Genomic DNA, 25,341 nt, shown 5'->3' with positions numbered 1-25,341 from the left:
GGGCCCTGGTCAGCCCCCACGGCAGCCGAGGGTGGGGCTGGCCTCTGGCAGGGTGGGCCGCCCTCCCAGCTCCAGCTGGAGACAGGCCCCGCCCTGAGAGGCAGCCAGACACTGGGAACTAGCTCTGGACACAGGCCTGGAGGCTCCCACTCAGCTGGCCTCATTGTTTCCATGTTTCCAAGTTGAAGGGTCGGGGCAGGAATGGAATGCCTCCAAGGGCTGTCTGTGGTGTGAGCCTGGCGGCCAGGGAGCCGGGACGCTGAAGTGTAACTGAGTCTGGGATGTAAGGGACAGAAAGCTGTCAGAAAAGTGCTCTGAGCCTCGAAACGAACCTCCCCTTGGTGCCGCCTCCGGGGAGTCACCCCGCCCAGCAAGGCCCCAGGAGGGGTGCGGGGTAGCAGGAGGTGGGTGGGGGGCCCTCAGCCTCGGTTTCCTGGCCTGTGAAATCGGCAGCACTGTTTATCTCCCTAGAGGCTGGTATTAGGCTGGAGGTTGTGCCAAAACGCTTAAGACAAGAACATGAAGGAAGGTTTGCATGTTGGAAGGGAAGAGATAAGTCTCTGGTATTTGCTGACAAGCATCTGTGTACAAGACCCAAGAAAATCAGCCAAAGCCTGCAGCTAATCCTGAGACTGGCCAGGTGACCTCACAGGAGCGCCTCTGGTGCCTGCCAACTGTCTCCCCCAAGCTGAGGCGGAAACAAACGGAAACAAAGTCGCAGACAGCGGGTGCCCCATGACAGGACGTGTCCTGCTCTGTCCTTACGACGCAGGGTCTGGCCTGCTCACGCGATTCCACAGTGAGTGGGCACAGTGGTCAGAACCTGGTCCCAGCCACTGGCACCCGGCTGGTAAAGACCGTGGGAGTGACCAGGGCCGCCAACCGTGGTGAACGGTGAGGCCGCCGGATGACCAGACGGGCTGTGCTCGCGGGCGGCGGGCTGTTAGTGTTGTAAACTACATGCGCTTTAAATACCTTTTACCGAGTGCTAGAGCCGTTCATCACCACCCCACGCAGAATTTCAGCTGCTTACGTTGAACAAATTCAACAAGTTTATCCTCAAGTTTATATGCAGCAACAAAGGTCTATGAATTTGGGCTCATAAAACTCAGGCGAATTAAAGAGGAAACAGCCACAGCAGCCTGGTTCTGACACTGAGGGCTCCGGGGCAGGGGCAGGGCCCGCTGGCTTGGCGTGCGCGTGCGTGCACAGGTGTGTGGGTGTCTGCCTGGTGGGCGGGCGGCGTGTGCGTGTGCGCATGTGTGTTTGTGAACTGGCGATGTGATCGAGGGCACGGGTGCTGGGCTTCCCCCTCATGGGTAAAACCAGAGCTACTGTATGCCAGCCGTGGAGGCATGGACGGCCCCTGAGCTCGGACAGCAGACGGACAGACCGTTGACGCGTTGGCACCGTGGCCAGAGTCCGTTCAAGAAAGGTCGGCAGAGAGGGCTGAGAACGCGGCAGGCACATCCTCCAAGGGCCCTGCTGGAACCCCTGGAGCAGGAGGAAGCGGTGATTCTCCAGGCCTTGGGTAGGGCTCAGAGGCAAGAGGGGTGGAGCTGGGGAGGGTCGGGCAGCCCCAGCACCTCAGGCTACTGCGCCTTGGTGGGGAACTCTCCTGCGGCTGCTGATGAACACCCGGGCTCTGGTCTCCTGTAGACTTCCGCCCCGGGCACGGGAGCAAGGGGAGGCTGCAGGCAGCTCCGGGGGCCTTGGCAGGAAGTTGGGAGGGTCGGGACAGTCCCTCTGGGGTGGCCCAAGCAGGGCACAGGGCAGGGAGCCAGGCTCTTCGGGGCCCCACCCCAGGCTGGCCCTGCACCCCATCCTGCCTTCTCTCCCCACTGTGGGCCCAGAACTTGCCCCGTGGGGGCCGGGAAGCACCCACCATCCCCACCCCTAGCTGCTCTCAGCCAGAGCCCAGCTGGACTTGCAGGATTGATTTTCCAGCAAAAAACAACAGCAGAGAAACCCAAGAGCAGCTGCATGAGCCCTCCCAGGCCTACCCCCGCAGCCGGCACTCCCTGCAGCAAAGAAAACCATCTGGCCACTGGGCCCTGAGCCCGGCGCCCGGAGGAGGACCTCTGCCCCGCTGAGCAGCTCTGCTCCCCAGGCTGGCCCTGGGCCTCTCGCGGCCTGACCCGCTCCCCTTGGCATCAAGCACCAGGAGGGACGGGGTGGCCCGGCCAGGGCGTGGGTGTTCCCCGGCCCCTCTGAGCACCAGCACCTGGTGAGTCTACCTCCGCTTCCCCAAGCCCTTGACCACTGCCCTGGACAGCCTCAGCCGCCCCCTGACCCGACCTTCAAACGGGCCAAGGGCTTCCCATGTAGGGTCCGAAAACATCCCTGATAGGCAGGACATGAGACTTGAACAATATAAGGTTAGGTGCATCTGTAAGCGCGGCGCATGGTTAGGCAGCCGGACCCTCTGGAGCATGTGTAAGCGCGGCGCATGGTTAGGCAGCCGGACCCTCTGGAGCATGTGTAAGCGCGGCGCATGGTTAGGCAGCCGGACCCTCTGGAGCATGTGTAAGCGCGGCGCATGGTTAGGCAGCCGGACCCTCTGGAGCATGTGTAAGCGCGGCACATGGAAACAGCGGCTCTTCTGGGTGGCCTCTCTGCTGCCCTTTCTTTTTTAAACCAGCTACTGACCCCGTTGGTCAGTGGTAGCAGTGTCTGTAGGATCCCACTGTGGAGGGCTCGCCACTCACTATCCAGGTCCCTGATGCAAGCTGGCTCCAGCTGGGGGTGCCCACTGTGGGGACGCCGGGGCCAGCCGGGGCCAGGGCTGTGGACACTGGTGGGACGGAGGGTGTCGAGCAGCCGGACTCACCCACATCCCTCCCAGCCCCTACAGGCGTCTAGGCCTCCGGCCTCCACCCCCTCTGTGCAGTGGGCAGTCACACCTGGCGGGGCCCGGCTGCCTGCCCAGACAGCAGGTTCTCAGCAGCAGCCCTGGCGTCCCAGGTCAGCCTCTGCCCAGCCCCACATTCACCTGACAGTGCCTCCCGGGCACTGCCCTGCACCTGCCCACACCAACTCCAGCCTCCTCCCCGTGCTCCCCACCCGCCCTGCACCTGCTCACACCTAACCCCATCCACTCCCAAATGACACCATCCACCCCCACCCACCTCCAATTGCCCCACACCTGCCCCACACCTGCCCCCACTGCCTCTTCTCCTGTCCCTATCTCCTCCCACCCTCCATGTGTCTCCCACCTATCCCCTCACCTGCTCACACCTGCTCACACCTGTCTGCCCCTCACCTGTGCACTCGTGGTCAAAGCCATCTGCTTTTACACCTACCCCACACCTGGGGTTCGCCTTAGACTGGGGTTTGTTCTCTGCTGCTGGCGGGGTCCCGGCTCTTCTGCCCCCTGAGGGAGACCTCACAGGGCAAGGCCGCTTCCCTACCATGAGCCTCAGGCCCTGCCTCCCCTCTCCGCCTGCAGAGCTGAGCCTGGGGAGGCTCCTTCTATTCCAAGAGCCCCACTCAGCCCGCTGGGTCCCCGTTCCCTGAGGAGCTGCTGCTTTTGCTGGGCGCCCCAGCCCTCCCACAGGGGACACATCTGTCCTGGAGAGACCACCTAGGGAGGCATTTGCTGTTGGTCCCTGCCCCGGGCCCTCCAGGTCACTCCCTCTTCTCGTCTGTCACAGCGTGGCCCTCTGGCCCCACAACCTGGGCTGCCGGCCTCCCCCTGCCCTGGCAGAGCAGTGGTGGGGCCAGACCAAGGGCTGACAACCGCCAGCCCCTTCAGCTCGGCCTAGGCCCACGGTCAGCCCAGGGGAGCTGGGGGCTGCAGCCGGGTGGGTGAGTGGCACCCGCAGACCCTTGGCAGGGCCCTCTCCAGTCCTGGGTGCCCTGAGAGGCTGCTGGGGTCCAGCTGCTGCCCGCTGGCTCCCGTGGGGGCACACATGAGGAGCAGGGAGGGGGGCATCCTCCTGTTCATGGCCCCGGGTCAGCCTTGGGTAGGGCAGGGTCACCCTGACAGCCCCCAGCCCAGTACCAGGGGAGGAGACCAGGCAGGAGAAGCCCTCCCTGGAAATGCAAACCCAATGCTGGGCGTGGCCTCCTCCCAAAAGCTCCGCCCCCAACCCCCCACTCCCTGGTCAGGGTTGGGGGCCTGGAGGGAGACAGAGGCCAGGAGGCAGCCAGGGGAGCTAGGGGTGGGCATCGGGCGGAGCATGGCTTCCTGCGGCCCCAACCCCCAGGCCCGAGCGAGGAGGTCTCAGAGGCCCCTCCTGGACCTTTCTGCCCATCCAAGCTGAGGGTCCCAGTTTGTCAGCCGAGGGCCTGCACAGCTTCAGGGGTGAGAGGGGCCCCTGGTGGGGCCTGGTCAGGTGTTTGTGGGTGGGACATCTGAGTGAGGGAGCCTGGGCGGGCCTGGAGGCCCTGGGGCCGTGGTGACGCCAGCATCTCCCCTGATCAACACCAAATGATGCCCCTCCCTGGGCCCCCACCCTTCCCAAGGCTGCCGTAGGCACTGCTGGCAAAAGCCTCGGATGCTTGGGCTGGCAGGGAAGGCCAGGCGGCTCCGATGGGGCCTCTGGGGACAGGATTGCGGGAGGCCAGGATCCTCGTTTTTAACCCTGAACCTTAGCACCTCTGCAGGGTCCCCCAGGTGCTGGGCACGGCTCTCCCTGGACAAAGCCCACAGCTCCACGGATGCCAGCTGCAGTTCTAGTAAAGATGTGGACATGGAAACCGAGGGGCAGGGTTTGCCCCTGGGTGCAGCTGCTCCGAGGAGGCCCCAGCTCAAAGGTGCCTCCCCCCATGCCCAGTTCAGGCATCGGGCCTCAGCCAGCGCCACCTCCTGTGTCCAGGAGCTCCGGGCATGGCCTCTTCCCCAGGACCTCAGCCGGGTGCTGTCTCCACCCACAGCCAGTTCCTGTCCATGTGCCCCCAGGGCCCTGCCCTGTGCAAAGTCTGGTCAGCGTTACGGGGAGGGCGTGGCGAGGGCACAGGGAGGGGACAGCTGGGTCTTCCGCCTTAGCCACAGGGACAGGCCAGGCCTCACAGCCAAGAGCCCCGGGAAGAGCTGCATGCACACGGCTGGAGAGAGGCTCTGCACCCGAGCACAGCCTGCTGCGACTCCTCATAGACCCGGAAAACTGATTAGAAGGCAGAGGTGAGTTTCGGAGGGTGGCTGTGCACAAAATTCAGAGTCAGGAATCAGCATCTTTCAAATTCAAGCACTTCCAGTTAGGAGAGACAATGAAGAAAGAAAAGGGACCATTCCCAACAGCAACAAAAATTGTAAATTTCTAGGAGCAAACGGCGGGCACATCTATACCTGTTATAGAGGGTCTGAGGCCTGACTGAGGACCACAGACCAGCAACAAGCCCGGTCTGTCCTGGGCGTCACGAGGTGCCGTCCCTCGTGCTGGCCGGCTGCCACAGCGGGGCCAATTAAAACACCGGAGAACCCTGGAATCAGGTAGATTGATTGTGAAGTTAACGTGGAAAAATAAGTAAGAAAACTAAGGAAATTCTGGAACAAAAGATGAACAAGGGAACCGTGGCCACCAGGTTTTAACACACACCGGAGGCTGCACCTAGGGAGCCCCGTGTGGAGCTGGTGCGTGGGTCGCTCACAGTAACAATGCGAACGGTGAACACGCAGGCATTACAGACACGCCAAAAGGACGTTTTGAATCAGTGAGAGGCTGTGTTCAGATCAGCAGTGCAAAGCCACCCTCCCGGGTCTGTATCCTGCAGACAGTCAGTGCCCGTCTAATATTCTGGGGACCCCTGCACATCAGGCTGAGGTCATGGGGTCACACAGTAGCATTTCTCTGCATTTCTGGCTAATGACTGAGCAGAAAGGATGTGTATCGGCTCCAGGGTAAGGTAGTGAAAAACCAGTGTGCTAAAGAACTCTCACAGCTCAGCAATACAAAGATAAACAACCTAGTTAAAAAATGGGCAAACTGGGAGAGGCCGGGCGCAGTGGCTCACGCCTGTAATCCCAGCACTTTGGGAGGCCAAGCTGGGGGGACCATTTGAGGTCAGGAGTTTGAGACCAGCCTGGCCAACGTGGTGAAACCACATCTCTACTAAAAATACAACAATTAGCCACCACGTGGTGGTGCACGCCTGTAATCCCAGCTACTCAGGAGGCAGAGGCAAGAGAATTGCTTGAACCTGGGAGGCAGAGGTTGCAGTGAGCTGAGATCGCGCCACTGCACTCCAGCCTGGGTGACAGAGAGAGACTCTAACTCAAAAAAAAAAGGCAAAAGAATTTGAATAGATGTTTTTTCCAAATAATATATGCGACCAGCCAACAAGCTCATGACAAGCTGCTTAACACCATTAGCCACCAGGGAAATGCAAATAAAAACCACACGAGACCACACCTCACACCCACTGGGATGGCTGGAACCGAAAGCATCATAGGTGTCAGGGCGGAGACGTGGGAACCTCACATGCGGCTGTTCTGTTCTTCAAAGTGTGAAGCCGAATTCCATGTGACCCAGCAATCCCACTCCTGGGTACACGTCCCCGAGAATCAGAAACAAAAGCTTATCCACACAAAAGCTTATCCACAAATGTTCCTGGTAGCATTATTCACAATAGCCCAAAGGTGGGCACAGCCTACATGTCCATCTGCTGAGGGACAGATGGGCACATTGTGGCCTGGCCCCACACTATTCTTCACCCGTAAAAAGGAATGAAGCTCTGGCCCATGCTCCAAAGTGGATGAACCTCGCAAACATTTGCCAAGTGAAGGAGGTCAGACGCAGACGGCCACATATCACATGAGACCATTTATGTCAAATGTCTGGAATGGGCAGGTCCACGGTGACACAGAGTAGACTCCCAGCTGCCCGGGGCTGGGGGCGAGGGCACAGCTGGGGGAAAATGGGAAGGGTCTTAGTCCATCCCCGCTGCTGTAACAAAACACCTCAGACTGAGTAATTTATAAGCAACAGAAATTTATTTCCTGTAGTTCTCAAGCTGGGGAGTCCAAGATCCAGGTGCCGGCAGGCTGGGGTCTGCTGAGGGCAGCTCCAATGGCGTATCCAGCCTCACATGGCAGAATTCGGAGGAAAAACAGCCAAGCTAGTTCCTTCTAGCCCTTTTATAAGGGCCCTGAGGACAGAATCATGGCAAGGGATGAGACCCTGGGGCACCTTTGGGACCGCAGAGCTCACTGCCTGCCTGGGTCTCCCCCGATCCTGGCCCAGCCCTCCTTGGCCGCCCCAGCCATGGCTCAGGCAGGTGCAGGCGCAGCTCCAACCATCGCTCCCAAAGGCACATGCGGGGGGCCTTGACGGCATCCACGGGGCGCTGACACTGCAGGCGATGGTGGCCTGCACCCAGATTTCAAAGCATGTTGCTGACAGCCTTGGGGCCCAGGCAGAGGCTCATCGTGGGGTTGGAGCTGCCTCGGAGTCCCCACCGAGGCTATGCCCACCGGAGCTGAGGTGGGGGCTGCCTCCGAGACCCCAGGACTGCAGGGCCACCAGCGAGCAAGCACAGCCTGGGAGAGCGGCAGGCAGGAGACTCCGACCCATGAGCACTGAGTGGGCTGAGCCCACAGAAGCCGTGGGGGCCCAGCCCTGCCCCCATGTGTCTGGAAGGTGGGCAGGGAGTCCAAGATCATCCCCTGTTCATGTATCCTATGAGTCCTGTCCCTCTAGAGAATGCTGACTCATATGATTTTGTATGTGAGAGCGGTGAGTACTGGGCCTGGCGTGCAGTGCCGTGGTTGGAACGTTTCCGTCCTCTAAAGCTCAGGCTGAAACTTAGACCCCGTGGAGTGCCGGGAGGTGGGGACTGATGGGAGGTGTTTGATCCACTCACGAGGCAGAGCCCTTGTGACTAAAGCCACCATGAAAAGGGCTTGTGGGGCAGACCCACCCTCCAGCCGGTGAGGATGCGACGTGCAAGGGCCATCGTGGAAGAGGAGAACCCAACCTTGGCCTCCAGACGGGGAGGCAGGAAGTCTCTGTTGATAAACTGCTGTCTGATGTTCTGTTGTGGCCTCACTCAAACCGTGGCGGGGAGCGGTTGCTAACAGGCACAGGACGTCTTCTGCGGATGATGAACGTGTTCCGGAGTGAGATGAGTGGGGATGGTTGCACAACTTCGTGAACATGCTAAAAACCACTGAATTGTACACTGTAAAGAGTGACTTGTGAGCATGTGAATTTCATCTCAATGAAGCTGTTTTGCGGGAGCCAGGTGAAGCACTGTGGAGGCCACGGCTCAAGAAGGCAGCACCGGCTGGGCGAGGTGGCTCACGCCTGTAATCCCAGCACTTTGGGAGGCTGAGGTGGCTGGATCACGAGGTCAGGAGATCGAGACCATCCTGACTAACACAGTGAAACCCCGTCTCTACTAAAAATACAAAAAAATTAGCCGGGCGTGGCAACCGGCGCCTGTAATCCCAGCTACTCAGGAGGCTGAGGCAGGAGGATGGCGTGAACCCAGGAGGCGGAGCTTGCAGTGAGCCGAGATCACGCCACTGCACTATAGCCTGGGTGACAGAGCAAGACTCTGTCTCCAAAAAAAAAAAAAAGTCAGCATCAGAAAACCAGAAACTGCGCGCGGACCTCAGTGTGGCAGGCACTCCCGGGGTGCAGACGGGGTGAAGGCAGCCTTCTCTGTGGTCACGTGCATGTAACGGCACCTTCTCTCTCAGGGCCTCCTCCCTCCCTGCGTGGTTTGGGGGCTGTTCCTGATAGCACAGATGCCCTGATCACAAACACCTGCCTGCATTGCTGACCACAGGCCTGGCCTGGAGAAACCCACAGCCTCTTCAGGGAAGCGAGCAAGGGGCTTGGAAGTGCCTGAAGCCAGTGGGCTGGGGACTCACGGCCGGGACACTCAGGGCAGGTAGGGCGGGCATGGGGCCCCAGCATGGCACAGGGCCAGACCCACCCCCTCTTTGTCACTGCCCACATACTGCGGGGGGAGGGGCTGGAGGAACTGGGGCACCTGCATTTGGCCTGCAGGGAATCTGGGTCCCGCTGGCTGTGGGTGACCGCAGAGGGCCATGTGGGCAGGGTGCATCCATGGGCGCCCCAGGCCAACCTCGTCAGGGTGGGAGGGGGAAGGGCCAGGAAGCCTCAGCCCAGACCAGGTATGGTGGGAACAGTCCACACGGGAGGGGCCAGAACCGTCTAGAAGGCCCTGGCGTACAGGTCTGCTGCAACAGAGCCAGGAGGGCACGGGGGTGCCCACATCCAGGGCAGAGGCACCACGTGGTGCTCAGTCAGTGGTCAGGGTCAGGCCTGGTTGGTGGCATTGAGGACACTGCAGACTTGGCCCCACCTCCAGGAGCTGGGCTTTCTCCACTTGCTCACAGCAAAGGCAGGGACCAGAGGGGTGGGGGGCTGCACCCACCCTCTCCTCGCTGCTCCCCTCCCCCTTACCACCCCGTCCAGCGATGTCCACGCAGATGGGAGAGTTGTGAGGGTCGTCCACACCTGGCCTGCAGTGGCTGCCCAGCTTCCTGCTAGGGAGATGGGGCCGGTGCTGATGGGGAACAGCTGTTGTGGGGGCAGCCAGAGGAAACCACGTTCCCGTGGGGTGAGCTCATGGTTTACACGTTCCCTGCCAGATCCATAACATCCTGGAGGCAGAAGCGCAGAGGCTGAGCCCGCCCCCGCCCCCGCTGAGCCTCCCCTGCTCTGACACCAGGGCGGCTCAGCCATCCTCGCTTAGCCTGCACCTCCTGTCCTGAAGCCCCTTCCTCCCTCCACTTGCTCCCTCTGTCATTTACTCCCCAGCCCCGACCCACCCTGCTCACCCCTGAAGCTTCTCTGGGTCCTGGACTCCGTTCTGCAGGCTGGACGCCTTCTCAACTGTCCGTGGAGCCTGCCTGGTCTCTGGGGGTGTTGAGTGAGGGGTGACCCAGGAAGAACGTGTCAGAGACAGTGGACAGGGAAGCGTTTCTCACCCCTTAACTCACAGCAGCCCCACCGGGCGGACACAACCATCAACCCAGCCGCAGGTGTAGAAACTGAGGCACACAGACGCGATGTGGCTGCCCGTCTGGTAACTAGCAGCCGGGATTGGAGCCTGGGTCCAAGCTGCCTGTTCTTTCTTTCCTAGGCCGTGCGCCGTTTCTCCTGGAATAACTGGAGGTGATTTCATGGAACCTGGAGGCTGGGCTTCAGGCTGGGGGGAGAGGCTCCAGACTGGGTCTTCTCCGTGGCTCTGCCCCCCGCTCTCCTTGCTTGAGTGGTGGGGGCCCTGCATCCTCTCATGCCCACCCCCACCTTTCTCGCCAAATTGTCGGAGGCTTTTGTCACCTGGAGACACTGTTCCTGCCAGCTCCGGTCTTGGAAAACATGGCCTCTCCTCTCCTGCCCTGGCCCCGGCCCCTCCTGCCAGCTGGACGTGGGCATTTCTGCACCCAGTAGAACCCCACAGCCAGGAAAGATGCCTGGAAGGCTAGAGAAGAGGCGTGATGGGGGGACCCCATGTGTGGCGACAGAGCAGCACACCCAGCTATTCTCAGCCACCATGTGGGAGAGAAATGACGCCTCTGTCGAGCTCCCCATGGCCGGAGCTGCTCCATACAGCATCCTAACCTTCACCCCCAACTACTCAGTTGCCATGGCAAAGGGAATATTTTGACTCCCTTTTTTTAAAATTTCCAGGTGATTATTGCTAGAGGAGTGGGAAGTTACTAATTTTTGTATATTTATCTTGTATTAAAATGTTTTTACTGATTTTTAATTTTAATTTTAATATTTTTTGAGATGGAGTTTCACTCTTCTGGCCTAGGCTGGAGTGCAGTGGTGTGATTTCGGCTCGCTGCAACCTCCACCCATGGGTTCAAGCGATTCTCGTGCCTCAGACCCCCGAGTAGCTGGGATTACAGGCATGCACCACCACGCCCGGCTAATTTTGTGTTTTTAGTAGAGACAGGATTTCACTATGTTGGTCAGGCTGGTCTCGAACTCCTGATCTCAGGTGATCTGCCCACCTTGGCCTCCCAAAGTGCTGGGATTACAGGCGTGAGCCACCGCACCTGGCCTGATTTTTAATTTTTAAATGAGGGAGCAGAGGCATAACTAGGTTTACAATCATGTCATCAACAAAATAAATTGTCTTATTTTTCTGATATTTGTGCCATTTATTTGGTTTTTCTATTAAGTTTGCCAGAACCTCCGAGAAAATGCTGGACAATTATGACAGCAGCAGGCCCCACGAGTCGACCCTGGATTTGTGACATTTGTGTTTTCCACGTAGAACGATCTTGGCCACTATTGTGGACAGAGACTTTTGCACTTTTTTCTATTTTACTAGAAATAGTGCTTTTATTCATAAAGATTGCTGAATTTGGTCAGTTTTCTTTTCAGTACCTGTCGGTGAGGTTCTCTGAATTTTCTGTGCTAATTGGCTAATGAAATGACGTCTCTGATGACTGCGCTGCCCTCGTAAGCCTGGCCTTCATCTGCTTGGCCATAACACGATGCTGCCGACGCTGTGTTGGGTCCTATTTGCTGTTCTCTTGTGTAGAATCCGCCGACGCTGCGTTGGTTCCTATTTGCTGTTCTCTTGTGTAGAATCCGCTGATGCTGCATTGAGTCCTATTTGCTGTTCTCTTACTTAGATTTTTTTGCATCTGCGAAAAGTGATATTTGTCTATGGTTTTCTCTTTTTGTTCCACATCAGGTTTTTGAATTAGATTATCCTGGTTTCATGAGATGAATTACAGAGTTTTCCATCCTTTCATGTCTTGGGAAGGTTAAAGTAACCCTGGGATGACTTTCCTTCCATGGAAGGTGAGGTCATCGTCAGCTGCGGACATCTGCTCCTGGTGCCTCCTTTCCTGGCTCAGCTCTCGCCCTCTCCAGCACCTCGTGCTCATCTCTGCGTGGTGCCGCTCATCCAGAGTCATTCTGGACTTTACACCCACGACAACATGGCTGCTGCAGGTTTCGAAGCAGCTGCCCCGGCCGAGCGGGCTGTCTCATCATTCCTCCAGCCTCTTCCATACTGGGGTCTCTTTCTTCCTAATCATGTGTGGGTTTTTTTATTTCAATGTACAAAAATTCTAAATAGAGGTAGTCATTTATTTGTTTTAGTTTTTTTTTTTTTTTGAAACAGAGTCTCACTTTATCACCCAGGCTGGAGTGCAGTGGGACGATCTCAGTTCACTGCAGCCTCCACCTCCCGGATTCAAGCAATTGTTCTGTCTTAGCCTCCCAAGTAGCTGGGACTACGGGCACGCACCACCATGCCCGGCTAATTTGTGTATTTTTGCAAAGACACGGTTTCACTATATTGGCCAGGATGGTCTCAAACTCCAGGCCTCAAGTGATCTGCACACCTCAGCCTCCCAAAGTGTAAGCATTACAGGCGTGAGCCACCACGCCCAGCCTAGGCAGTCATTTCTTGATGCAGCTTTTGGGCTGGGCAAGGGGATTTTATTTTATTTCTTTCAGAAAACAATCATTTCTCCTTTTTACTTATTTGTTTTCTACTCATTAATTTCTGGCTTTATCTTCATAATTCTCCCTACTTTTTAAAATGCACTTTATTGTTCTCATTCTAGTTTCTTAGGGTGGCACAAAGTCCCTCTCGTTTATTTTTTCCTCTAAAAAATAAGAGCTGTGCTGGGGGCTCTGGGCGCTGCATTAGCTGAGTCCTCGATATTTATGGATTGATATTTATGGCTTCTCGGCTTTTCAGAGAGTGCACGTTCAGATTTAATATCCTGTTTTACCCAAGGGCTACCTGGGAGTGTGTTGGTTTCTAAGTTTCTGGGGGAAGAGGTGGCACTTTCCGTTATTTATTTTACAATTTTTTGGATAACAGGATCATTTTAATTATTCTACTTTTTAGTTCCTTGAGGTTTTCTTTGCAGCCAATACACAACAGACATGGACTTATCGGAAGTCGGAACGTTTGGAAGCTCTGTTTCCCGTGAGGAATCTTCGGAAGCGCTGTTTCCCATGAGGAACGTGAGCATGACCATCCATATTGATCTGTCTGCATTTTTCTGTTGCCACTAGACCTAATTATGGAGAGAGAGACACGGAGGGAGCTCCTGTGACCCTCAAGTCCCCTCATCATGTCCCCGTCCTGTTGGCTTTCCGAGTTTAGCTCCCATGTTTGGACCATGGAGGTTTATGTCTTCTATCTCAGTCATCGTCCCTGCCACATGCCCAACCAGACATGCTGACATCACAGGCCCTACTTAGCCCTGTTTCCTCTCCCCTTGGCCTCACCTTGATGTCAGGGGGGTGTCCTCTGGTCTGACTCAGAGGCAGTGACTGGCTTCCTTCTAGTACCTTCTCTGGATAATGAGTATGGATGACATACCTTCTAGTGTCTGCTGTCGCGCTTACCGGTGACACTTCTGGGCTGGTTTGTGATGCCTGGGATGGAGCCGTCTCCCTAGTGGTCATGGATGATGTTTCACTGTCCCCTGCTTCTGGTGGCACAGATGAGAACTCCAGGCCTCGTGCTCTCTCTGCTGGCACACACATCTTCCCTCCATGCTGGCTGCACACCTGCCCATGGGGTTTCTGCAGGAGAGGAGACAGCCAGAGGCCCAAGTGGGGTGTGTGGCAGGCAGGCAGCAACCCTGGTCACTGCAGTGGCCTCTGCTCTGAGTCTCGGGAGTAACCCTGGTCACCGCAGTGGCCTCTGCTCTGCTTCTCAGCTATGCCTGGTGTGACCCCCAGGGTCTTGGTCGGCATGAGGCCACAGAGCTCACGTGCACTTCCCGCAGCTGCTTCCACGGTATAGATGAGAGGTTCCCATGGAGCTCACATGACCTCTAGAGACTTGCAGACCCCTATGCTGTCAGACAGAGGAGGCTGAGGCTCAGAGAGGCACAGTCACCTTCTTGAAGATGCACAGCCGTGAGTGAAGAAGCTGGGATTTCTCCTGGTCTCTCTGACCCTGGAACACGTGGCCTCTGGGTGTGCCCAGTAAGAGACGTTAAAGAAGGGCCTCCCCCATGAGCCCTGACTGAGGCGGGGCGCTAGGCACCCCATCGATGTGCTTCGTGGTTCACAGGGGAGAGGCAGAGGGCCTGTCGGGGGGCAGCGATGGGGCAGCCAGAGGGGGCGGTCCTGGCCTGTGTGAGCCTCCTTGAGGGGAGGGTGCCAGGAACTACCCCATGATCTTCTATTCTCATGTAAGCCACAAGACCCCAACCCAGATCCCCACAGCAAAGGCGAAGTCACCAACTCAACAAGGCGCGTGGCCAGGCGTGGGGCTCACGCCTGCAATCCCAGCACCATGGGAGGCTGAGCAGGAGGATGGCTCGAAGCCAGGAGTTCGAAACCAGCCTGTGCAACACAGCGAGACCGCTCTACAAAAATAAAAAAAAATCAGCTGGGTGTGGTAGTGCACACCTGTAGTCCCAACTACTTGGGAGGCTGAGGTGTGGGCATCCTGGGGCTGGGGGTCTCCGGGGTGGGGGGTCTGGGGCAGGGGCATCCCAGGGCTGCTGGCCATGACCAGGCTTTGCGCCTCTGCCTGCTGATGGCCCTGGGGCTGTGATGGCGGTTTTGCACAGAGCCCACCCTCCAGCCCTGCTTGCTGAGGGCTACTCGAGGGGCTGCGGCAGTGCCTACCCACATGTGGTGCCCGGGATGCAGCCCCCATCCGCCCAACCTCGAGCTGTGCCTGGAGAGGCGGGGGGAGGTTCAGGTGCCATGGCAGCCTCCAAGGGGCCGAGGACTTAGGGAGGGTGCTGGAAGCTGGCCGGCCTGTGAGGGACCCCTGAGGCGCAGGGGGCCAGGGCCACCAAGCTGATGCGCCCACCGACGGGCCAGGGGGCCGGTCCTGTTGCCTGTGGGAGTAGTGGATGGGGGAGAGCGAAGTGGTTCCTGCGAGGCCGGCCACACACCAGCGGGACCCGCCCTGGGACCGCAGGAGATGCGGGAGTGGGACATTGAGTCATGGGCACCAGCCTCGGGCCATCTCCAGAGGACGGCGGTGGGGGCAGAGCCCAGGAGGAGGAGCTGCCTGGGGCGCCCTCCCTGTGGTCCTGAGCCCTGAGCCGCCGGCTGCGGGGTTGGAGCCGCCGGCTGCGGGGTTGGAGCCGCCGGCTGCGGGGTTGGAGACGCCGGCTGCGGGGTTGGAGCCGCCGGCTGCGGGGTTGGAGCCGCCGGCTGCGGGGTTGGAACCGCCGGCTGTGAGGTGAGGCCGCCGGCTGCGGGGTTGGAGTCGCCGGCTGCGAGGTTGGAGCCGCCGGCTGCGGGGTTGGAGCCGCCGGCTGCGGGGTTGGAGTCGCCGGCTGTGGCGTTGGAGCCGCCGGCTGTGGGGTGAGGCCTCTGCTGGCTGCGGGGTTGGAACCGCCGGCTGTGAGGTGAGGCCTCTGCCAGGCAGCCCCCGCTGAGTGTTTTTCCTTCCACTGCCTCTGGCCCCGGGCCAGACTTGGAAACGCTGACCCACATTCCCCCCGCGCCCGGCAGAAACCAGGCCACCAGCGAGGCTGGGGAGGGTGTCCCGGCAGCGGGGCCAGCTCAGACTTTCCAGGCTGGGGAGCAGGTCCCGCGGGCCAGAGCAGGGGGACTCTTCCCGGGGCCTCCGGCGCAGCTGGCCCAGAGAAGAGGACGGAGCCCACCCGGGCCAGGAAGAAGCTAAGCTGTGCAAGCCGCCCTGTCCCACACAGCCCTGCCTGCGGCCTGCGCTACCGCGGCCCGGCTTCCCCGTTTCTTCCCACTCCCCCTGCAGGGCACGCCAGCCGCTCCATCCGGTCCTCCAGGCCTGGGGCCGTCGCTGTCCCCCGGGGGCTGGTCCCAGGCCTCCCACCCTGGGGCTCGGCTCCTTGAACCGCCTCTGAAGTGGTCCCTCTATCGGGACCTGCGGGTGAGCCCCGTTGGTCCTTTTTCCTGCCACCCTGACTGGGCCACCTCCCAATGACATGGCCTTGGCAGAAGAGGCCCGCACACCTCGCCGAAGACCCTTGGAGGAGCCCATTTGCCGTCGTGGGGCTGGGGGTGGAGGGAGGCCGGCCGGAGGGTGTCTCTCTCCCCATAGGCACTGCCTGCTGTGCCCAAAGTCTGGCCGCAGCTCCCCGGAGACGTCCTGTGGGGCCTCTGGCAAGGCCACTTCAAAGCTTGTGGCTGCAGGGAAGGTGGGAACAGCTGCTGGGCCACAGGGCACCCCCCTGGGTTCCACATACTGGCAGCCTCGTCCAAAGAAGAGGGACAGGGAGCAGGGCCCACGCCACCCCCGTGTTATTCCCACAGCTCCCCCACGTCCTTTCCACGCCACCCGCACGTCCTTCCCACACCCCCCACATCCTTCCCACACCGTCCCCCACGTCCTTCCCACGCTGCCCCCCCACGTCCTTCCCACGCCACCCCCCCACGTCCTTCCCACGCCACCCCCCCACGTCCTTCCCACGCCACCCCCCACGTCCTTCCCACACCACCCCCCACGTCCTTCCCACACCGCCCATGTCCTTCCTACACCCCCCACGTCCTTCCCACGCCCCCTACATCCTTCCCACACCCCCCACATCCTTCCCATGCCCCCTCCACATCCTTCCCATGCCCCCTCCACATCCTTCCCATGCCCCCCACGTTCTTGTCCCATGGTCAGCGGCAGGTCCTACGGGAGTGACCCCTGTTGCTGGGGAGGTGTTCTGGTGACACAGGGCTGTAGGGACACACAACCTTCCCTCCTGGAGAAAGGACTCAGTCCCCACCCAGCTCCCCCACACTCCTATTCCTCCTCCCCAGCCCCAGGGTGGGGCCCACTGAGACTGGGGGGGCTCTGGAGAGAGGCCAGGCCTGGCGTGCTGGACTCCCCCAGGACAGATACCCGGTGACGGGGACACCCAGTGATGAAGGGTGTGTGGGGCAGGGGACAGGATGGACCTGGGCAGAGACTGGGACAGGGGACGTTGCACCCTCCAGTGCCCACTGAGTCTCTGCAGTGACATCCACTTTCTCTCTGCAGGGTCCATTAGCATCCTCCAGATCAAAGGCAGGGTCAGCCTCAGATGCAGGCATGTGCATGGTGTGTGAGCACATGTGCTGTGTGTGTGCACCCATGTGTGAGGCGTGTATCTGGCATGGTGCAGCTGTGTCGGGCATGTGTACGTATACAAGTGTGTGCACGTGTGTGTGGCATGCATGCATGTCCACATATGTGTGTGGGCCTGGTGGGTACTCAGATGTCTCCATCCCATGCCCCACCCTGTGCCAGATGAGGTGGCAGCAGAGAAGGGACCCCAGCAGCTGCTGCAGTGGACATTGAGCTCTGCCCCCTCCCTGGCACCTCCTTCCACTCGGCCTTGCTTCTGAGGGCCCCTGGCTGCTGGAACAGCCTGATGTGAGGGCTTGATGCTGGGCCGTGGCCTCAGCAAGCCTCTCCTTGGCCGGTGGCATCTCCCTGGGGTGTATGTGGGGCTGGGGCAAGTGCTCTCTGGGCTAAAGGAGCAAAGGCTTCCAGCAGGATGGCCGTACCCCCCAAGCCTTCCTAGAATCCAGGCTGCGAGCTTCTGTGTTAAGAGGCTAAGAAACAAGGAGGCAGGTCCCTCTTTGTTTGCCCCGGGCAGCTCCGGCTTAGCCTGAGCCACCCTCTGCTGCTCTGTGCTGCTCCCGCTGCCCTTTCCAGCCCAGGGGTGCTGCTGGGAAGAGGCTTCCCTGTGAGCACTCAGCCTTCTCACCCTAATGCCAATCCGAAAATGGCAACTGAGTTTAGCTACAGCAAAGGGCTTTACCATCGTGTCAAGAGATTGAGAGTAGGAAACTCTATTGGGAAAAAGAAAATGTGAAATTTAAAGCATAAATCCCTGAATTCCAAATCCCTTTCCTTGGCTCCACAGCCAACCCTGGCCAGCCAGCACAGGGCTGCCAAGACCAGCCCTAGGGCTGACTCAGAGCTTGGACAGAGTCCCACACTCAGTAGAGCTGCTTGGCTGGCTGTGGGTCACGAGGAAAGGGATTATCTCTGTGCTAAAGCATGTGGGGCCATCTGGTGAGGTCACCCCCATCCCACACTCTGCAGAGGAAGAAACTGAGGCCTTGAGAGAGCTTAACCCATGCCGGGTCACACAGCCGTGGACAGGCCTGAGCTGGAATCCTTGTCCCCTGACGCTAGCATGGGGCTTCCTCTGGCCCCTCCTTGCTGTGGAGAGATGAGGGGCACCCACATCCTCATGGGGCTGAGTCTCTTCTATCCCATCAGAGCCCTGGAAACAGGGACCCAAGTGGTCTGCGGCCACCAGCCTGGGTGTGGCCTGAAGGCTGGGTGTGTAGGCCTATGGGGAGGGGCTGGCTGTCCTGGGAGCTATGTACCTGAATGTAGAATGACAGGAACTCACTGCAAACCTTGGTAACTTGTGGGCACCTCCTCCACCCTCTCTCCACACTGATCCAACCGCTGCCTCGCACACACCCTATGGTTCTGGTGTCCCCTCCAGGCAGGGCCTACACAGCCCGAGGAGGCCTCTGTCCTTGCACTCCCACTAGGCAGAGGTCTCTCCTGCCCCTGGCCTTCCCAGTGGATTTCAGTGCTGAGTTCTGAGCCAAGGTGTGAGAGGAGGGGCGCCATCATCCCAAGGAGTGCACTCTAGGCTGAACTGTCAGGGAAGAGCATCAAGGAGCCTCCAGCACCTTCACTGGGAGACTGGCTCCTCAACCCTGTCCGTCTACTCCTGTGGGCCAAAACTCACGACTTTTACTTTTAGGTCTTTGATCAATTTTATACATGGTTAATTTTTTTGTATATGGTGTGAGGTAGGAGTCCAAATACCTTCTTTTGCAAATGGAGGTCCAGTTGTCTGAGCACCATTTGCTGAGGAGCTGATCTCTCCTCAAGTGAGTGACTTTGGCACCCTTGTTGAAACCAGTTCACCATAAAAGTAGGGGTTTATTTTTGGACTTTCAATTCTGTTCCATTGTCTCTATACCTAGCCTTAAGCCAGTACCATACTGTCTTGATTACTACAGTTTTGTAGTAATTTTTGAAATTGGGACGTGTAAGTCTTCCAATTTAGTTCTTTTATTGGGTAGTTTTGGCAATCTGAGGCCTCTTGCAATTCCGTATGAATTTTAGGATCAGACTTTCCATTTCTGCAAAAAAAAAAAAAGAAAAAAAAAGCAGTTAGAATTTTGATGGGGATTGGATTGAATCTGTAGACCAATATGGGGACTATTGCTGTCTTAACAATATTAATTCTTCTAATTGAGGAACACAAGATGTCTTTCCACATATTTAAATGTTTAATTTCTTCTAATGATGTTTTGTAGTTTTTAGTGTTCAAGTTGTGTACTTCTTTGATTGAATTTATTCCTAAGCTTATTCTTTTGATGTGATTATAAATGGAATCGTTTTCTTAATTTCATTTTCATATTGTTCATTGTTTTAGAAACGTGACTGATTTTTATAATATTGGTCTGTATTTTCAGCCTTGCAGAACTCATTTCTCAGCTCCAATGTTTTTGCATGGATTTCTGATGATTTTGTATGCATGAAATCATGTCATCTGCAAATAGAAATAGTTTTACTTCTTCCTTGCCAACCTGGCTGCCTCTAATTTTATTTTCTTGCCTAATCATTCATATTGAACCAACTTTGCATTCATTGTGCATAATCTTTTCGAAAATGTTGCTGGATTAAGTTTACTGGTATTTTGTTGAACATTTTTTGCAGCTATATTCATAAGAGATACTGGAAAGTTTATTTTTTGTGTGACGATTTTGTCTAGTTTTGGTATCAGGGTAATACTGGCCTCTGAATGAGTGAGGAAGTGTTCCCTATTTTGGAAGAATTTATGAAGGATTGGTATTAATTATGCTTCAAACATTTGGTAAAATTCACCAGGGAAGCCATCTCATCCTGGGCTTTTCTTTGTGGGAAGTTTGTTTTTTTTTGTTTGTTTTTTTTTTTCCTACTTCAATCTCTTCATTTGTGTTAGGTCTATTCAGATTTTGTATGTCTTCATGAGTCAGTTTCAGTAGTTTGTGTCTTTCCAGGAATTTGTTCATTTCATTTAGATTATTTAATTGGTTGGCACATTGTTCATAAGAGTCCCTCATAAATCTTTTAATTTCTGTAATGTCATTAGTAATGTCTTCTATTTCATTCCTGATTTTAGTAAATTTGAGTCTTCTCTTTTTTCTTAGTCTGGCTATTCAATTTTCTTGATCTTTTCAAAAACCAACTTTTTTTTTTTTTTTTTTGAGATGGAGTCTCACTCTGTCACCCAGGCTGGAGTGCAGTGGCATGATCTCAGCTCACTTACAAGCTCTGCCTCCTGGGTTCAAGCCATTCTCCTACCTCAGCCTCGTGGGTAGCTGGGACTACAGGTGGGTGCCACCATGCCCGGCTAGTTTTTTGTATTTTTTAGTAGAAACGGGGTTTCACCATCTTAGCTAGGATGGTCTCGATCTCCCGACCTTGTGATCCGCCCGCCTCAGCCTCCCAAAGTGCTGGGATTATAGGTGTGAGCCACCGCACCTGGCCTTCCAAAAACCAACTTTTGTTTTTTGTTTTCTTTTCTTTCTTTCTTTCTTTTTTTTTTTTTTTTTTTTGAGACAGGGTCTCACTCTGTTGCCCAGGCTGGAGTGCAGTGGTGGCATGATCTTGGCTCACTGCAGCCTCGACCTCCTGGGCTCAAGCCTCCCAGGTAGCTGGGACCACAGGTGCGTGCCACCACACCCAGCTATTTTTTATTTTTGTAGAGATGGGGTTTTACCGTTTGCCCCTGCTGGTCTTGAACTCCTGAGCTCAAGAGATCTGCCTGCCTTAGCCTCCTGAAGTGCTGGGATTACAGGTGTGAGCCACCATACCCGGTCTGTTTTAATTGATCTTTTAAATTATTTTTCTACTGTAATTTATCTCTGCTCTACTATTTATTATTTCCTTCTGCTTGCTTTGACTTACTGTGCTGTTTTTTTCTCGTTTCTTTAGGTGGAAGGTTGGGTTATTGATTTGAGATCTCTTTTTATTTAGTGTAAGTATCCACAGCTGTACATTTCCCTGTAAGCACTGTTTAGCTTCATCTGTATTTTAGTATATTGTGTTTTCATTTCCATTTATCTCAAACTATCTTCTAAATTCTCTTGTGAATGCTTCTTTGCCCTATTGGATACTAAGGAGTTCAGTGTTTTATTAACATATTTTTTAATTACCCAAATTTCTTTCTGTTATTGATTTGTAATTTCATTCAATTGTGGTAAGAGAACATACTTTGCATGATTTCAATCATTTTAAATTTGTTGAGATTTATTTTATGACAACATCGGGTTTATTCTGTCAGACATTCCACGTGCACTTGAGAATAATGGGCACAACAACCTTTGCAGTTGTTGGTGGAGTATTCTACAGACGTCTGCCAAGTCTAGGTGGGTTAGAGCCTGTTGACGTCTTCTACTGACTTTTGATTTTCTGTCCTGTTGCTTTATCCATGATTGGAAATGGGCTATTGAAAGCTGGAAGTCTCCAGCTGTTATTGTTGAATTGTCCATTTTGCCCTTCATCATTTCCGCTTTGGCTTCATGTATCTTGGGGCTCTGTGTCAGGTGCACATATGTTGATAACGGTGATATTTTCTTGATGGATGTACCCTTTTATCACTATAAAATATCCTTGTCTGTTTTAACAACTTTTGTCCGAAGGTCTGTTTTCTTTCATATTGTCACAGTCACTCCAGCTCTCTTCTGCTTACTATTCTATCTTTGCTCTTTTACTTCAGAGTGTCTTTGAATGTGCGTTGAATCATGGTTCTTAAAAGTCAGCCCTTCTATCCGCTGCTTTTTAACTGGAGTGTTTAATTAACATTTAGTTGACACTACATACTGAGTTGATAAGGGAGAATTTAGGCACACCATTTGCTATTTGTTTTCCATATCTTAGGTTTTTTTTGTTCCTCTGTTTCCATATGGCCTTCTTTGGTGTTAAATAGATATTTCCTAGTGTCTCATTTCAACATATTTGTCATTTCTTTTTTTTTTTTTTTTTTTTTTTTGAGACGGAGTCTTGCTCTGTTGCCCAGGCAGTGGTGTGATCTTGGCTCACTGCAACCTCCTCCTCCCAGTTTCAAGCAATTTTCCTGCCTCAGCCTCCTGAGTAGCTGGGATTACAGGCACCCGCCACCACGCCTGGCTAATTTTTTTTTTTTTGTATTTTTTAGTAGAGACGGTGTTTCATCGTGTTGGCCAGGCTTGTCTTAAATTCCTGACCTCAGGAGATCCACTAGCCTTGGCCTCCCAAAGTGCTGGGATTATAGGCGTGTGTTGCTGTGCCTGGCCTGTTATGTGTATTTTATTACAATAAAAAATTGGGGAAAACATTTTCAAAGGGCAGTGTAAAAATAAATAGTTTATGTGTGTAGCTCTTTTTTCTCCTACCTGATTTAAAAGACAACTGCAGAGAGTGATGATTAGACATCTGTGCTGGTAGTCAAATGATGTGTAAACATTTAAATTATATGACAGTGATAGCACAGAGGAGGAGGAGGGAACAGAGCTATATATGCGCAAAGTTTTTGTATACCATTGACATTAAATTATAATTAATCTGAGATCAGTTGTTATAAATTAAGATATTAATTGTAATCCCTAGGGCATCTGCTAAAAAGACACCTTAAAAGGTATAGTAAAAGAAATGACAGAGCAAGACTTTGCCTCAAAAAAAAGATACATATAACATAAAATTTACCATCTTAGCCATTTTAAAGTGTACAGTTGAGTGGCATTAAAAACATTCATCATGTATAAACGTCACCCCATCCATCTCCATAACACTTCATCTTGTGAAACTGAAACTGTGCACTCATTAAACAACAACTCCCCATTTCTGCTCCCCCCAGCTTCTGGCAACCACCAATCTGCTGTCTGTCTCTCTGAATGTGACTATTCTAAGTACCTCATCTAAGTGGAATGACACAATCTTTGTGTTTTGTGACTGGCTTATTTTACTTAGCATAATGTCCTCAAGGGTGATCCATATTATAGCATATGTCCTTCCTTTGTAAGGTGAAATTTCCTTTCTTTCTAAGGCTAAATAATATTCTGCTTATCTGTTTGTTCATTGGTAGGCACTTGAACTGATTTTGCATTTTAGCTGTTGTGAATAACGCTGCTATGAACTTGAGTATACAAATATATTTTCAAGACCCTGATTTCCATTATTTTGGGTATATACCCACAGTTGCAATGTGGGATCATACAGTCATTCTATTTCTAATTTTTTGAGGAACTCTTATCGTGTTTTTCATAGGAACTGTGTCATTTTATATTCCCATCAATAGTTCTCCAGGGTTCCAGATTCTCCACATCCTTGCCAATACTTGTTATTTTGGGGTTTTTTTGATAGTAGTCATCTTAATGGGTGTGAGGTGATGTCCTATTATAGTTTTAATTTGCATTTCCTCAGTAATAAATGATGTTGGGAATCTCTTCATTTGCTTATTGACCATTTGTAGATCATCTTTGGAGAGATGTCTATTCATGTCCTCTGCCCATTTTTAAATTGAGTTTTTTGTCTTAGAGTTTTAGGAGTTCTCTATATATTCTGGATATTAGTGCCTTATCAGATAAATGATTTGTAAATATTTTCTCCCATCAGCTGGGTGCAGTGGCTCACACCTGTAATCCCAGCACTTTGGGAGGCCGAGGTGGGTGGATCACCTGAGCTCAGGAGTTTGAGACCAGCCTGGGCAACACAGTGAAACCCCGTCTCTACTAAAATACAAAAAATTAGCCGGGCACGGCAGCATGCGCCTGCAATCCCAGCTACTTGGGAGGTTGAGACAGGAGAATTGCTGGAACCCGAGAGGCAGAAGTTGCAGTGAGCCAAGATTGCACCACTGCACCCCAGCCTGGGTGACAGAGGGAGACTCCATCTCAAAAAAAAAAAAAACATTTTCTCCCATCTTTTGAGTTGCCCCTTTACTCTGTTGATGTTGCCTTTTTTTTTTTTTTTTGAGACGGAGTCTCGCTCTGTCACCCAAGCTGGAGTATAGTGGCCCGATCTCAGCTCACTGCAAGCTCCGCCTCCCAGGTTCACACCATTCTCCTGCCTCAGCCTCCTGAGTAGCTGGGACTACAGGCGCCCACCACCACGCCCGGCTAATTTTTTGTATTTTTAGTAGAGATGGGGTTTCACCGTGTTAGCCAGGATGGTCTCGATCTCCTGACCTCGTGATCCGCCCGCCTCGGCCTCCCAAAGTGCTGGGATTACAGGCGTGAGCCACCACGCCCGGCCAGATGTTGCCTTTTGATACACAAATATTCTAATTTTCATGACGTCCACTTTGTCTATTTTCTTCTTTTGTTGCCCATGTTTTTGGTGTCATATCCAATAAATCATTGTAAAATCTGAAGTTGTACAGCTTTGTCTTATGTTTTCTTTTAAGAAGTTTATAGTTTTAGGTATTACATTTAGGTCTTTAATCAGTTTTGAGTTAATTTTTGCATACAGTGTCAGGCAAAAGGTCCAACTTCATTCTTTTTTTTTTTGGAGATGGAGTCTCACTCTGCTGCCGAGGCTGGAGTGCAGTGACGCGATCTCAGCTCACTGCAATGTCCGCCTCCCAGGTTCAAGAAATTCTCCTGCCTCAGCCTCCCAAGTGGCTGGGATTACAGGCATGTGCTACCATGCCTGGCTAATTTTTGTATTTTTAATAGAGACGGGGTTTCACCATGTTGGCCAGGCTGGTGTGGAACTCCCGACCTCAGGTGATCCGCTCGCCTCAGCCTCCCAAAGTGCTGGGATCACAGGCTTGACCAACTTCATTCTTTTGCATGTGGATGTCCAGGTTTTCCAACACCATTTGTCAAAAAGACTATTCTGGCCGGGCATGGTGGATTATGCCTGTAATCCCAGCACTTTGGGAGGCCGAGGTGGGCAGATCACTTGAGGTAAGGAGTTCAAGACCAGCCTGGCCAATGTGGCAAAACCCAGTCTGTATTAAAAATACAAAAAAGAAATTAGCCAGGGGTGGTGGTGCACATCTGTAATCCCAACTAGTCGGGTGGCTAAAGGAGAATTGCTTGAACCCAGGAGACGGAGGCTGCAGTGAGCCGAGATTGTGCCACTGCACTCCAGCCTGAGCAACAGAGTGAGATTGTGTCAAAAGAAAAAGAAAAAAGACTATAAGACTATTATTTCTCCCATTGAATGGTCTTGGCACTTTTGTCAAAAATCATCTGGCCATATATGTGAGAGTTTATTTCTGGCATAAAGATAGAGCATAGCTTATTGCTTATTGTATTCTTTTTTTTTTTTTTTGAGACAGAGTCTTGCACTGTCGCCCAAGCTGGAGTGCAGTGGCAAGATCTCGGCTCACTGCAACCTCCGCTTCCTGGGTTCAAGTGATTCTCCTGCCTCAGCCTCCCAAGTAGCTGGGATTACTGGCACACACTATGACACCCGGCTAATTTTTTAAATTTTTGTTTAGTA

General features: G+C 54.0%; 3 protein-coding genes and 1 long non-coding RNA gene across 5 annotated transcripts in view, besides 6 other annotated features; 3 read left to right on the top strand and 1 right to left on the bottom strand.

The window, feature by feature from the left end:
* On the top strand, positions 1,145–14,324 carry LOC100130872 (uncharacterized). Its single transcript, NR_024569.1, has 4 exons — positions 1,145–1,531; positions 4,991–5,125; positions 8,645–8,838; positions 10,060–14,324. It is a non-coding gene; the product is annotated as an uncharacterized LOC100130872 (long non-coding RNA).
* The window catches only part of SPON2 (spondin 2), a 41,913-nt gene continuing 17,834 nt past the window's right edge, over positions 1,263–25,341 (top strand). The window contains exon 1 of the mRNA NM_001199021.2: positions 1,263–1,531. The gene's annotated coding sequence lies outside the window, so the exon portion shown is untranslated. The remainder of the gene's footprint in view (positions 1,532–25,341) is intronic.
* Positions 1,512–1,581: an enhancer, noted in NCBI's record as "active region_21148". NCBI's record gives its function as "activates an Ori minimal core promoter by ATAC-STARR-seq in GM12878 lymphoblastoid cells {active_cell/tissue: GM12878}" and the evidence as "EXISTENCE:reporter gene assay evidence [ECO:0000049][PMID:35858748]".
* Positions 6,913–25,341, bottom strand: part of LOC124900647 (nascent polypeptide-associated complex subunit alpha, muscle-specific form-like) — an 89,556-nt gene continuing 71,127 nt past the window's right edge. Inside the window, exons 1-5 of one of the 2 annotated variants that reach the window (XM_047416478.1) lie at positions 13,311–23,898; positions 9,755–12,976; positions 9,378–9,577; positions 7,918–8,034; positions 6,913–7,089 (exon numbers count right to left, since the gene is read on the bottom strand). In XM_047416478.1, the coding sequence (XP_047272434.1) occupies positions 14,875–16,521 (1,647 nt within the window). In that variant the 5' untranslated portion in view covers positions 16,522–23,898 and the 3' untranslated portion in view covers positions 6,913–7,089; positions 7,918–8,034; positions 9,378–9,577; positions 9,755–12,976; positions 13,311–14,874. Of the gene's footprint in view, positions 7,090–7,917; positions 8,035–9,377; positions 9,578–9,754; positions 12,977–13,310; positions 23,899–25,341 lie in introns of those variants that run through there. The other variant, XM_047416477.1, reaches the window with a different exon arrangement.
* Positions 7,760–7,959: an enhancer, noted in NCBI's record as "active region_21147". NCBI's record gives its function as "activates an Ori minimal core promoter by ATAC-STARR-seq in GM12878 lymphoblastoid cells {active_cell/tissue: GM12878}" and the evidence as "EXISTENCE:reporter gene assay evidence [ECO:0000049][PMID:35858748]".
* Positions 8,850–9,481, top strand: LOC124900164 (uncharacterized). Its single transcript, XM_047416479.1, has one exon. It carries the CDS (start codon positions 8,850–8,852, stop codon positions 9,462–9,464), a length of 615 nt encoding a protein of 204 aa, XP_047272435.1. The 3' UTR covers positions 9,465–9,481.
* Positions 9,200–9,419: an enhancer, noted in NCBI's record as "active region_21146". NCBI's record gives its function as "activates an Ori minimal core promoter by ATAC-STARR-seq in GM12878 lymphoblastoid cells {active_cell/tissue: GM12878}" and the evidence as "EXISTENCE:reporter gene assay evidence [ECO:0000049][PMID:35858748]".
* Positions 9,915–10,464: an enhancer, noted in NCBI's record as "H3K4me1 hESC enhancer chr4:1193431-1193980 (GRCh37/hg19 assembly coordinates)". NCBI's record gives its function as "activates a minimal SCP1, AML or CMV promoter by ChIP-STARR-seq in naive and primed H9 embryonic stem cells {active_cell/tissue: H9 hESC(naive and primed)}" and the evidence as "EXISTENCE:reporter gene assay evidence [ECO:0000049][PMID:30033119]".
* Positions 12,347–13,546: an enhancer, noted in NCBI's record as "BRD4-independent group 4 enhancer chr4:1190349-1191548 (GRCh37/hg19 assembly coordinates)". NCBI's record gives its function as "activates an origin of replication core promoter dependent on BRD2, P300/CBP, MED14 and CDK7 cofactors, and independent of BRD4, by STARR-seq in HCT116 cells {active_cell/tissue: HCT116}" and the evidence as "EXISTENCE:reporter gene assay evidence [ECO:0000049][PMID:35650434]".
* Positions 15,087–15,798: an enhancer, noted in NCBI's record as "H3K27ac-H3K4me1 hESC enhancer chr4:1188097-1188808 (GRCh37/hg19 assembly coordinates)". NCBI's record gives its function as "activates a minimal SCP1, AML or CMV promoter by ChIP-STARR-seq in primed H9 embryonic stem cells {active_cell/tissue: H9 hESC(primed)}" and the evidence as "EXISTENCE:reporter gene assay evidence [ECO:0000049][PMID:30033119]".

This window comes from Homo sapiens, chromosome 4 (assembly GCF_000001405.40).
Source record: "Homo sapiens chromosome 4, GRCh38.p14 Primary Assembly".
Classification (NCBI taxonomy): Eukaryota; Metazoa; Chordata; class Mammalia; order Primates; family Hominidae; genus Homo; species Homo sapiens.
Note: the sequence above shows the minus strand (reverse complement) of the source record. Positions and strands in the feature narration are given on the sequence as shown.